The 13230-nt window shown below is 44.0% G+C and overlaps 1 protein-coding gene across 4 annotated transcripts in view, besides 1 other annotated feature; it reads right to left on the bottom strand.

The window, feature by feature from the left end:
* Positions 1 to 13230, bottom strand: part of ZNF592 (zinc finger protein 592) — a 57854-nt gene that overhangs the window by 8263 nt on the left and 36361 nt on the right. For all 4 annotated transcript variants that reach the window (NM_014630.3, XM_005254996.4, XM_011522246.3 and 1 more), the window contains 2 exons: positions 7300 to 7478; positions 138 to 314 (listed from right to left, as the gene is read on the bottom strand). In NM_014630.3, coding sequence (NP_055445.2) covers positions 138 to 314; positions 7300 to 7478 — 356 coding nt within the window. The remainder of the gene's footprint in view (positions 1 to 137; positions 315 to 7299; positions 7479 to 13230) is intronic.
* Positions 9837 to 10006: an enhancer, noted in NCBI's record as "experimental_41909 CRE fragment used in MPRA reporter constructs". NCBI's record gives its function as "activates a minimal promoter by MPRAs in K562 erythroleukemia cells, with activity observed for both the introgressed and non-introgressed 15:85331493 variant alleles {active_cell/tissue: K562}" and the evidence as "EXISTENCE:reporter gene assay evidence [ECO:0000049][PMID:34662402]".

The following is a 13230-nucleotide window of genomic DNA, read 5'->3' as shown; positions in this document are numbered from 1 at the left end:
CAGGACATCCTTAGTACGACCCCAGGCACCTCTGCCACTAACCCCAGCTCCCTCACCCATCCCTATGCCACCCCCTACAGCACCCAGGCTACTCCTCTCTGCTCCACAGGGCCTGCTGGCCCTGGAGCTGCACTCACTGGGAGGGTCTGTGGGGCTGGGTGGGGTGCTGGGTGGCACTGTGGTCTGCAGTGCTGCTGGCAGTCTTGAAGGCCATGGGGCAGAATGCACATTTGTGGAAAACCTGGCAGTGTCGCTCCTGGATGTGGCTTTTCAGCAAGGCCAAGGTCAGGTGGACGACACCACAGTGGATGCACCTAGACAGAAGTGGGGTAGTGTGAGTGTGGGTGGAGTATAGGGAGTACTGGACCCAGAGGTGGTGCTGCAAGAGGAGGGATGGAGAAGAGGAACAGAACTATCCAGGCACCTTCTCCCTCCCTCAATCACTTGGACTTCCACCCTTGACAAGTACGTCCTGAGGGTCTGCTTGCTACAGTCTAGCACAATGTGGCCACACAGTGGCCCCCAAGCCCAAGGCCACGCCTTGTACAGAAGGGAGAAACCCCAACCTTCCCTGCACTGGCCAGAGGATATTCTGCAAACCAAAAACCTGAGCCTACCTAAGAGAAGTTGGTGGAAGTGGAGAGGGAAGAAAATGGTTCAATAATGGCATAAACAGTATTTAAGTGTGAGGCAACTGTAGAAGTCCAAGAATTTCCGAAGGAGGCTGCACAAAGCCCATGCCTTCCCACAGGCTGGTATGAGTAAGTAGGGATGACCACTTAACAAAACATACAGTCAGGCAATGCTATGGTCACCAAAACAACAACTACATTAAAAAAACCCTTAAAGCCCAGGAAGAAATACTCTATAGTGTTGTCCAGTGGAACTTGCTGTGATGAAGGAATGGTCAATAGTTCCACTGGGGCGGGCACGATAGGTCACGCCTGTAATCCCAGCACTTGGGGAGGCCAAGGAGGGTGGATCACACGAGGCCAGGAATTCAAGATGAGACATGGCCGACATAGCAAAACCCTGTTTCTACTAAAAATACAAAAATTAGTGGGCATGGTGGCACGTGCCTGTAATCCCAGCTACTCAGGTGGCTGAGGCAGAATTGCTTGAACCCGGGAGGCAGAGGTTGCAGTAAGCCGAGTTTGTGCCACCGCATTCCAGCCTGGGTGACAGAGTGAGAACCTGTCTCTTGGGGGGGAGCGGGGGAAGCTCCACTGTTCATGTGGCCACGTGGCTATTTAAATAACAAAAAAATAAAAATAAAAATTCAGTTCCTTAGTTGCACTGGCCACATTTCAAGCACCCGGTAGCCACAAATGGCTGGTACTATACTATACTCTACTGGACCATGCAGCTCAAAAGTGCTGTGATGTCTTCCTGGTGGAACTATGGGGATAACTTTTCATTTTTTTTTCTCCCTACCAATTTGTATTTTCTGAGTTTATTTGGTGGATTTTTTTTTTACAATGCATAAATAAGATAAACAATTGTCTTAAACCATTTTTCTGAAATTGAGGCCGTATGGAACTTGTTTCAACTTCACAACATCTCTCTATAAATACTGCCTTTCCTTTTATCGATATCAGAGAATAATATGACCTTCCTCCATGCCAACCTGCATCCATAAGATTACTAGTCCCTCTCCTGTGTTCAGTCTTTCCTCCTGCCCAAGAACACACATAGGTCTCCCCTACATGACAAAACATCTTTTCCCTCTCTGCTCTTCCTTTTTATCTTCCTTTTGTTGCAATACTGTCTGCCCTCATATTATTGACATCCCCATAGGCACTAAAGAGAGGCAGGTGCTTTGCTAAAATAAAAGGCGTGCCTTCATTTAAGAATTATTTGACTCCTGAATGTTACCCTTCGTTTTTTTATATATATATATATATATATATATATAAAATATATATATATATATATATATATATTTTTTTTTTTTTTTTTTTGAGACAGAGTCTTGCTTTGTCACCCAGATTGGAGTGCAGTGGTGCAATCTTGGCTCACTGCAACCTCCACCTCCTGGGTTCAAGCGATTCTCCTGTCTCAGCCTCCCAAGTAGCTGGGATTACAGGTGCCTGCAACCACACCCGGCTTACTTTTGTATTTTTAGTAGAGACGGGGTTTCACCATGTTGGCCGCGCTGGTCTTGAACGCCTGACCTCAGGTGATCCACTGACCTCGGCCTCCCAAATTGCTGGGATTACAGGCGTGATACATTTTCACGGCCCACATAAATCCCCACAGAATCCTGAACAATCTTTTTTCTTCCTTGTGTGTATTGGAAGGGAGGGGTAGAGAATCACCTTCGAAAATTTAATTAGCAATGAAGAGCAGCCCACGGAACCAGAAAGCTTTTTGTGATAAACTCCACAGAGCATTCATTACTACATTTGTATATGCTTTAAATTAGGGTTTCTATTCAAGTTACTTACTTAATTTTCCTTTCTCTCCTGCTAAACAGAAGAGTGAAACCAACTTCTAGCACACAGAAGTATTTCCACACTACAAAGTATTATGAGGAGAAAAAAGCACATAATTCCACATTCATCCAAAGTGGCCAAGTACATCTGATATGTGTAAAGAATCTCTTAAGTGGCTTTATTTGTGCCATTTGACCAAACTCCTGCAGAAATAGTAGAAATACATTCTTTTCGAATGCTACTGAAAACTCCTTCTATGTATCTGGTAGACATTTCTTTGAGAAACCTCATTGAAAGTAAGAACACATGCAAAGTATCCTCAATGAAGGACTGAATCCAATGGTGTTTACAAGTTGATGAGAAAGTATGCAGAAAAGAGTGCCAACCATATGACACCGCACTTGACCACAGTTTTTTAAGACGAGATAGACAATTATGGAATCATATGTTGTGAAATATGTAGTTTTAGAAAAGATAATAAACAACATATTTAACTTTAATAATCACAAATAAGAAAATAACATTAAAACAGTCTAAACTTGCATCCTTATGACATCATTAGCCATTCTCCAAATTATTAATAAAGAACAGAATAATTTATGAAATTCTGAAATATATGTGTATGCATATTTTACATAAAATACATATAAATTTTATATACTTATATATTATATAAATAACCATATATAGGCTTTTTACATTATCAAGTAAAAGCAAAAATAATACAAAACATAAAATAATATTGTAAAACTCTGTAGTAGAGTTCAATAAAATGGAACATAGGTATCTTGAGAATTTACTAAAAAAATTAACATCCACAGAATGGGAGAAAATATTTGCAAATCTGACAAGTAACTTGTATTCAGAAGATATAAAAAACTCTTACAACTCAATTATAAGATGTCAAATAACCCAATTCAGAAGTGGGCAAATTATCTGAACAGACATTTCTCCAAAGAAGATGGAGTCCAGGCCGGGAGCAGTGGCTCACGTCTGTAATCCCAGCACTTTGGGAGGCTGAGGTCGGTGGATCACCTGAGGTCAGGAGTTCAAGACCAGCCTGACCAAAATGGTGAAACCCCGTCTCTACTAAAAATACAAAAATTAGCCAGGAATGGTGGTGGGCGTCTGTAATCCCAGCTATTCAGGAGGCTGAGGTGGGAGAAGTGCTTGAACCCGGGGTGGCGGAGGTTGCAGTGAGCTGAGATAGCGCCACTGCACTCCAGCCTGGTCAACAGAGTAAGACTGTCTCAAAAAAAAAAAAAAGTTGGAGTCCAATAAGCACATGATCAACACCGTTAACCATCAGGGAAACAAGATACCATTTCACACCCATAAGGATGGTTACAATCAAAAAGACAATAACAAGTGTTGGCAAGGGTGTACAGAAATCAAAACCTAGATACACTGCTGGTGGGGATGTAAAAACGCTGCAGTCACTTTGGAAAATAGTCTGACAGTTTCTCAAAAAGTTAATCAGAGTTACTACTTTTTTTCCTCTTTTAAAATTATATTTTAAGTTTGGGGATACATGTGCAGAATGTGCAGGTTTGTTACATAGGTATACACGTGCCATGGTGGTTTGCTGCACCCATCAACCCGTCTTCTACATTAGGTATTTCTCCTAATGCTATCCCTCCCCTAGCCCCCCACCCGCTGACAGGCCCCAGTGTGTGATGTTCCCCTCCCTACAGAGTTACTATTTGACCCAGCTATTCTACTCCTAGGTATCCAAAGCAACTGAAAACATGTCCACATGATAACTTGTACATGAATGTTCTTCAGCAGCATTATTCATATTATTCATTATTCATGAAGCCAAAAGGGGAAACCAACCCAAAGGTCCATCAGCTGACAAATGGATAAACAAAACATGGTGTATCCCCGCAATGGAATCTCAGCCATAATAAGGAATGAAATACTGATATATGCTACAACATGGATGAACCTTGCAAATATGCTAATAATATTACATAATTCCACTTATATGACATGTCCAGAAGAGCTATGAGACAGAAAGTAAATTAGCGATTGCCTAGGGCTAGGGGGGAAGAAAGAAGTGGTGGATATGAGGTTTCTTCTTGGATAGTAAAAATGCTCTAAAATTGTTTGTAGTGATTGCACAACTCTGTTATGAACACTGTAGTGTTGTGTATGTCTTCTGACTTCAACCGCAGATCACTGAAAATTTTAATATCGCTATCTTCAGTAATCCCTTTCGCTGAGTCACAATTCATTTGGTCTGGCATTCCTTACAAAAAGGTTTGATAAACTGAACTGCTTTTGAGACATTTCTTTTTACTTGTACATAAGAAAATATGTAATTAAAAATGAAAAGTATTAATCCATCCGTACAATTAAACATTTCTTGGGCCAGGTGCAGTGGCTCATGCCTGTAGTCCCAGCACTTTGGGAGGCCAAGCCAGGTGGATCACCTGAGGTCAGGAGTTTGAGACCAGCCTGGCCATCATGGTGAAACCCCATCTCTACTAAAAATACAAAAATTAGCCAAGCGTGGTGGCACATGCCTATAATCCCAGCTACTCAGGAAGCTGAGGCAGGAGAATTGCTTGAACTCGAGAGGTGGAGATTGCAGTAAGCCAAGATGCTGCCACTGCACTCCAGCCTGGGTGACACAGCGAGACTCCATCTTTAAAAAAAAAAAAATTTTTTTTCTTGGATTCAAGATTCAAAGATAAATATTTAAGTGTTGATTGTATTACTATTGGATTGGATTTGATCTTAGAACAAGCAGCATACACTTAAATCAAGGCTAGAAAGGTATTTTTAAGTGTTACAGGATACTGTAAAAACATATTCAGATGTTTGGTTTAAAATATAGCCTGGGATGCTGCCAAGCAATGCTCCTCAGCAACTTGGTGGTAAGTGCTTTGTATAATCCTGTCTTAGGTTTGTCTTGTTTTTAATGTACTTTAGATACTCCATCCTCCATAAGATGAAAAAGAAATCAGTCTACATTTTTAAATGTTTATAATGCCAGGCACGGTGGCTCACGCCTGTAATCCCAACACTTCGGGGAGTTGAGGTGGGAGGATCGCTTGAGCCCAGGAGTTATGTGACCAGCCTGGGCAACATGGTGAAACCCTCTCTCTACAAAAAGCACAAAAAGTTAGCCAGGCATGGCAGTGCATGCCTGTAGTCCCAGCTACCTGGGAGGCCGAGATGGGAGGATCACCTGAGCTCGGGAGGTCAAGGCTGCAGTGAGCCACGATCACACCACTGCCCTCCAGCCTGGGTGACAGTGAGACACTGTCTCAAAAAAATATACAAATAAAATGTTTACCCCAAGACAGAAATGTGGGAGTCATTGCAAAACTTTAATATACGTGTTAGCTTCCCAGAATGATCTTTCTAAAACATACTAGCCAGATTACTGCCCTGCTGCAAATCCTTCTGTAGCTCCTCAATGTCCGCTGGAAAATGTCCAAATGCCTGCCAAGAAATATAAGGTCTTGCATGGCCTAGCCTCGCCTCTGCCAAACTCCTCATCCCTCATTCCATATAAAAGCTATTGTCAAATCTTGATGCTTCTTCCTAAACCCCTGTCAAATCTACCTTCTCTCCATTCCCACGATCATGCCTTCAGTGAAGCCCTCAGCATCTCATCTGGACCATCATACTTGCCTTTCAAGAAGTCTTCAGTCTCTCTCCTCACTAATATATGTGTTCGCTTCCCAGAATGATCTTTCTAAAATATACTAGCCAAATCACTCCCCTGCTGCAAATATTTCTGTAGCTCCTCACTGTCCATTGGATAAAGTCCAAATGTCTGCCAAGAAATACAAGGTCTTGCATGGTCTGACCTCTGCCAACTCCCTAGTCTCATTTCTCCCCACTCCCACAATTCATCCTGACATTCCTCTATACAACCATACTCATCATTCCTGACACCTCTTTTGTGTATGCTGTTATTCCTGGTCAGGCCCTTGCCAGGTATGGTTTCCCCTTCTTTTGTCTGAAAATCTCCTAATATCTCCTTTAGGAAGCTTTCCTGACCATTTCTCTATTGTGGGACTTAGCACTCTGGGTTATAATTACCTATGTTCTTATGTTTGTAACCTACCAGGGCAAGGGCTGTGTCTTAATCATTTTTGTATCCTGAGTGTCTAACACAATGCCGAAGACAATAATAAGTACACACAAAAAAGTCAAATGAACTAAAACCAAAAAAAAAAATTTAATGCCAAAGAGCAGAAAACAACTTACAGATCAATGAGCTCTAGAGGGAAGTTTTTTCCCTCACTTTGATCTTTTCCCTGAAAATGACTTCTTGCTTATGTTTGACACAAAGGAGGAAATTCCATTGAAAATAAGAGTTTTCTTGGTTTTACCAAGAGGCTGATCCTTTTTTCCAGTCTCAGGTTTTGCCCATTTTGCCACAAACTGACAAAAATTAACAAAAAGAAAGATACTAAAGCCCTTTGAGTTTGGCATCTTGCAGCCCCATTTGTTAAAACCTGCAAACATTTCCAAGTACTGTAATTAGTACATTCATTATTGAAACAGCACTTTACATTTAATGTGCCAAACATAACTTGGTGAGCAAATTAAACTTACATACGTTTTAAAACCAAATAGACAAAGTATTATATGTCTAATCTCCCCAAAACTTCAAAGCTAATTTTCTAATATTTAAGTTTTTAAAACTCCTTATTCTTCTCTCTCTTGTTCTTCCTGTCTGCTACCAAATAAAAAATGTCTGTCCACATACCATCCAATGCTCTTGTCCTGTGTAGACTGGAACCCAAGCCTCTTAAGACCAAAACTATCTGAAATGAGTTCTGGCTTAGGAAAAGGACCAGCCATTGGGCAATACCAGGACAGCAAGCCAGGCAGCACCCACCTGTAGCCCACCTTGCGGGCATAGTGCAGGCAATTCTCCTTTACATGGGTCTGGAAGTAGGCAGAGCGGCAGAGGACCCCACACTCCGGGCAGCAGTAGGGGGACTTGTGTGCATGAATCCGCTGGTGGGCACAGAAACTGCACTGGTTGGGCAGCAGCATTTGGCATACCTGGCAGGTCTAGGAAAGAACACCAAGAAAGCAGATCATGCAGGGGCCATAGGCCTGTGGCTCTCCAATCAGGGCTGTCTGGTTTGCTAGTACATGGGTCAGAATAACCCCTTCCCCCAACCACTCTCTCTTCCAACTCTCCTGGACACTTCTGACACCCCTAGACCTCATTTCCAGTGCTGATACTGATACCCAAGCAAGCTTTGTCTGACACCCTATTAATCAGAGACAGACCTGACCCTATTCTCTCAAAGACCAGTTCCGCCCCAGGACTGTGTTTCTTTCCTGTGGCTTAGCAGAGGACCAGCTTTTCCTTTGCAGAGGCCTAAAGCACATCTTGAATTCTAAGACCTCACTGCACTGCTAGACCCACCAGGGTCTCTGTCACAGCTCAGTAGAGGCAGTTCTTGCCATCTACCCCCAACATTGGCCTGGTAGAGACCTGCTCAGCACCTCGAGTCAGGTGGATCAGTGACTTCCAAAGTGGATCTGAGACCACCCTGATTGGTACTCAGAAGGCTCTCAATAAAGACTGACTGAGTGGTCTTGTCAGTTTCCATTGCTCTAGCCCTGTTTGCCCACTCTGCAGGTTAGGAGAGTTGCGGGGGTGGGGGTTGGGGGGTGGGATGGGTGGCGGGGGTTCCCTGAGCCACAGCTAAGCAAACATACCCACAGACAAGGGCAGATTAGGTAGCAGCTCCTTTGTTCCCAGCCCCAGGAGAAAACCAGGGGAAGTACAAGTACTACAACCAGACTAATTACGCTCTGATGGGCAGAGCTCTGACAAGCAGCCAGCCCAGAGGGAAAAAGTAAAAGACTTCGCTGGTGCCTGCATGCTGGAGAGGCCCTTCTTAACTTCTTAGTAAAGGGGACACCTGTCCTACTCACAGAGGTGGCCACTGATGTGGGGTCAGAGGAGCTGACTAGAGGGATATAGAAGCCAGCTCGAAGGGGCTTGCCACTGACCAAAGATAGGATAACATGAGCATTAAAAAGAATGACTGAATATGTAAATATACTGAATATATAAAAATCAATGAGCCATGACAACATTTAAACTAATAGAGGAGGTCACCTCAAACCCACTAGGATGGCTACTATTTGAAAGAACAGAAAATAAGTGCTGGTGAGGATATGGAGAAACTGGAACACTTGGGCACTGTTGGTGGGAATATAAAATGGTGCATCTACTGTGGAAAATAGTACAGTGGTATCTCAGAAAATTAAACACAGAAGTACCATATGATCTAGCAATGCCACTTCTGGGTGTGTACCAAAAAGACTTAAAAGCAAGGTCTCAAAGAGATACACTTTTATGCTTATGTTCATAGCAACATTATTCACAATAGCTAAGAAGTGGAAATAACCCAAGTATCCATCAATGGATGAAAGGATAAATAAAATGTGGTATGTACACACAATGGAATATTATTCAGCCTTAAAAAAAGAAGGGACTTTTTTTTTTTTTTTGAGACAGGGTCTCTGATGCCCAGACTAGAGCGCAGTGGCATGATCTTGGCTCACCGCAGCCTCCACCTCCCAGGCTCAAGCAATTCTCCTGCCTCAGCCTCCTGAGTAGCTGGGATTATAGGCACGCACCACTACCACCTGGCTAATTTTTGTTTTTTGGTTTTCTGTTTTGTTTTTTTTGTTTTTTTTTTTTTAAATAGAGACAGGGTTTCACCATGATGGCCAGGCTGGTCTCGAACTCGTGACCTCAAATGATCCACCCACCTTAGCCACCCAAAGTGCTGGGCTTACAGGTGTGAGCCACCATGCCCGGCCAAAAAAGAAGGAGATTCTGACATATGCTACAACATAAATGAATCTTGAGGACATGCTAAATGGAAAAGCCAGTCACAAAAAGATAAATGCTGTGTGATTCCACTTGTATGAGATACCTAGAATAGTCAAACTCCTAGAGACAGAAAACATAAGGGTGGTTGCCAGGGCTTGGGAGGAGGAAGATAAATGGGAATTGTTTTTTGTTTGTTTCTTTTTTAAAACGAGTACAGGGTTTCAGTTTTGCAACATGAAGAGTTCTGGAGACTGGTTTCACAACAGTGTGAATATACTTAACATTAACACTACTGAACTGTACACATCAAAATGATTGTGATGGGAAATTTTACATTACGTGTATTTTACCACAATTTTTAAAAAATAGAAGAGGGACTCTTAGAACACCAATTGAGATTGTCAGGGTATCAACTCACAACTCTGAGAACTGTTAATTAAAAGAAACAAATTATCCCATTTTCCAACGTAAACTATATTTCAGAGTAACCAAATAGCCCTCACGGAAGCAAAAAATATACTTTATACAGAATTCTAGCTAATAAATGAGAAAGAAACAATAGAATTAGAAAAATATCCTTTGAAACTCAATAAAATTAGACTCAAGCAGTGATTACTGATGGATAATTAGGTAAAAGGTGGGGAGCTTTACAATGAAGGGATCAGAATATTATCACCTAAATTCACTCTCATTAATTCAGCATCATTAAAAGTGAAGACAATCAGGCACTTTGTGCCTCCTTAAGTTATGAAACAGGAAGAACGCAGCACCCTCCACCCCCACCCTCCATCAAAACTGACCTGAATCTAATCAAGTTTTTATTGCTTACTTCCAGTCTACAGGAAAAAATATGGGATATGGAGGAAAAAATTCCCTGCATGAGGAAGTAATCAGTAAAACTCAAAGTTCTGGAAAACTTAGGAAGCAATCAGTTAAACCCAGAATTGTTCTGGAAAATGCTCAGAACACATGACCCAATTTCTTCAACAAGTCAATGGCATGAAAAGAGGGTGCCTACTAGGATGGAGTGGGAAGAGGTACTGTTCCAGACTGAGATATTTATGAAACATAAACAAACGTGATGTATAGCCCCATGTTCAGATCCTGACTCAAAATAATCCCAACTGTAAAAAGACATTTTTTGACATAACTGGAAAAATCTGAATATGAACTTGTAGTAGGTAATACTAAGGGACTGTTATTAATTGTGTTGGGTGGAATGACAATATCCATCTGGCTGACATCCTGCCCCAACAGCGTGGCTTGGAAAGCAAGAGGAAGGATGAAAGAACTCCCTGGGTCACTGCAGAGGGAGGCATGCTCCATTCAGGGGCAGACTCCCAGGAAGAAGATGGAAATCCCAAACCGATGCTGTTCCCACAGTCCCTGCTGTGGTGTGGAGCCCAACTATCTGTCCACCCCCTGCCCTGGACACATGGGCTGAAGCTAGATACTGTCCTGTGGAAAACCCAAGCCCAGCAGCCATCAAGCCTAGTTTTTAATCCCATAGCTCAGGGCTCACCCTTTCCCTGAGACTCAGAAGCCACAATGAGTGGCATGAGATTTTGTGAGGGATTTGGAGCTGGCTGAGAGAGGCCTGATAGCCTTCTGTGCACTCCTTCCCTTCCTGTCGGCGGGTGCTCTTCTCCAGCTCCCACTAGGGCAGAATGACACAGAGAGGATGTAAGATGAGAAAGGTGCCATGCCAGCCTGGGATCCTACACCCAGACCTCTGCCTACTCAAATTTTAGAAGATGCACAAGGAGGCGGGTGTGATGGCTCATGCCTGTAATCCCAGCACTTTGGGAGGCCGAGGCAGGTGGATCACTTGAGGTCCGAAGTTCAAGACCGGCCTGGGCAAACATGGCAAAACTCCATCTCTACTAAAAATACAAAAATTAGCCAGGCATGGTGGCGCACACCTGTAGTCGCAGCTACTCAGGAAGCTGAGGCAGGAGAATCACTTGAACCCAGGAGGCAGAGGCTGCAGTGGGCCGAGATCGCACCACTGCACTCCATCCTGGGCAACAAAGCAAGACTCCGTCTCACAAAAAAAAAAAAAAAAAAAAAAAAAGATACGTAAGGACCAGTGTGAAAAAATCCCAGGCCCAGGCATCAGACCTCCACTGCCATGGGGCCTCCTCATGGCCCCTTGACTCAGATAAAGTAAACCTGGCCCAACTCAACCATGCTGGGGCAGCAAGAACACTGAAGCCCCAGGGGAAGAGACCCAGAGTGCCCACACCCCATCTGACGCATCAGAAGAAAAATGCAAACTGAAACAGAGCAGGAGGAGATGAGAGGCCACAGTGGGATCCTATAGCACCTTCTGGCCCCTTTGGGGGGCTGAGTCCTCTGCAGAAGCCCTACAGGCCCGCCAAACTCAACCTCTGACCTCTACCCTAATATTTCCAAGACCAGCCTCATGCATAACAATGTCCTCTTCTTCAAACCCACTCTGCACTCTCATATTCCTTTGCTCCCTATACTCAAAACACCCTTGCCCCTCCTACTCCTCCAAACTCATCCTTGCAAGCCCAACTTAAATTTCACCTCCACACAGCATCTTCCTTACGCATGGAGTCATCGTGAATTAGTCCCTCTGGGGCACTCTGCGCAACTAAGTTTATAACCTTGGTTTAGCCCCACTCTCAGTTGGCCATATACTGTAGCTGTTTGGGTGGTGACCACTGCCCTTGCTAGGCCACTGTAAGCTCCTGAAGGTTAGACTCCCTTCTGCCGGCATCCCCTGGTTGGCATAGACCCCCAGCCCATGCACAGTGGGCACTCAGGGAACACATGCAAAGCTCAACAGCTACCAACACATGCACAGAACCCTGGCTGAACTGAAGCAAAAAGAGCTGTTTTACTTTCCTCCCAGGCCTCTGTAGCACCAGCTTAGGGAAGCACCATGAGGGGTGGGTCTGGCTATGTCATGAAGAGAACCACCTTCTGGAGGCCTCTTTCTTCAGAGAAACCACTAACACATAACATAGACACAGAAGGTGCCAAAGGGTATTCTCAGCGCAGAAGGCTTTTTTTTTTTTTTTAAATGAATCTCATCAAGCATAACCAAGAATCAAAACAAGCAGACAAGCACAGTTGCTTTCCTGGAGTGGTGAGAACGCAGTTGAAAGAAGGAGGCTCCATAAACCTCTGCCACAGGCCCCACATGTCTGTCCACTCTCCTTCCTCCTATCCCAGCCCTGCCATTGGCCCTACTGCAGTTTCCACAAAAGGACTCTGCAAGAACAGCTGTGTCACTGCAGGGCAGAACAACAACTTATTAAAGACACAGTTCTTTGGCTGGGGACAGTGGCTCACGCCTGTAATCCCAGCACTCTGGGAGGCTGAGGTGGGCAGATCACTTGAAGCCAGGAGTTCAAGAACAGCCTGGGCAACATGGTGAAACCCTGTCTCTACTAAAAATACAAAAATTAGCTAGGCGTGGTGGCACATGCCTGGAGTCCTAGCTACTTGGGAGGCTGAGGCATAAGAATCACTTGAACCCCAGAGGCAGAGGTTGTAGTGAACTGAGATCCCACCAGTGCACTCCAGCCTGGGTGACAGAGTGAGACTCCGTCTCAAGAAAAAAAAAAAAAAGACAAAGTTCTTAGAACAGACTGAGGTGCAGGGGCAGTGACTCAGCTATCTCTGTCCCCAAGTTCCTTGGTCACATGCTAAGACTGTGCTGACACCTGCCAGAGACCAGAGGGAGATCATCCAGTAAAGACCTATCTCGGGCCTGACACTGGGCCTTGACAGACCCTTTGAGGGGAAGTTGAGTGGAACACGGGACACGTCCGTAAATACACTTGCTAAATTAGGGTCTCACCTCAGTATGGGCAGGACACCTTTTCCAACAAACACCAAACACTAAATATTCAGGCAGACATCCTCTTCTAAGACTCATAAGATTCCACCACTGCCCCCATATCAATGAGCTTTCCTCTCCATGCCCAG

The sequence above is a fragment of the Homo sapiens genome, chromosome 15 (assembly GCF_000001405.40).
Source record: "Homo sapiens chromosome 15, GRCh38.p14 Primary Assembly".
NCBI classification, from domain to species: Eukaryota; Metazoa; Chordata; class Mammalia; order Primates; family Hominidae; genus Homo; species Homo sapiens.
This window is presented reverse-complemented; position numbering and strand designations above follow the sequence as displayed.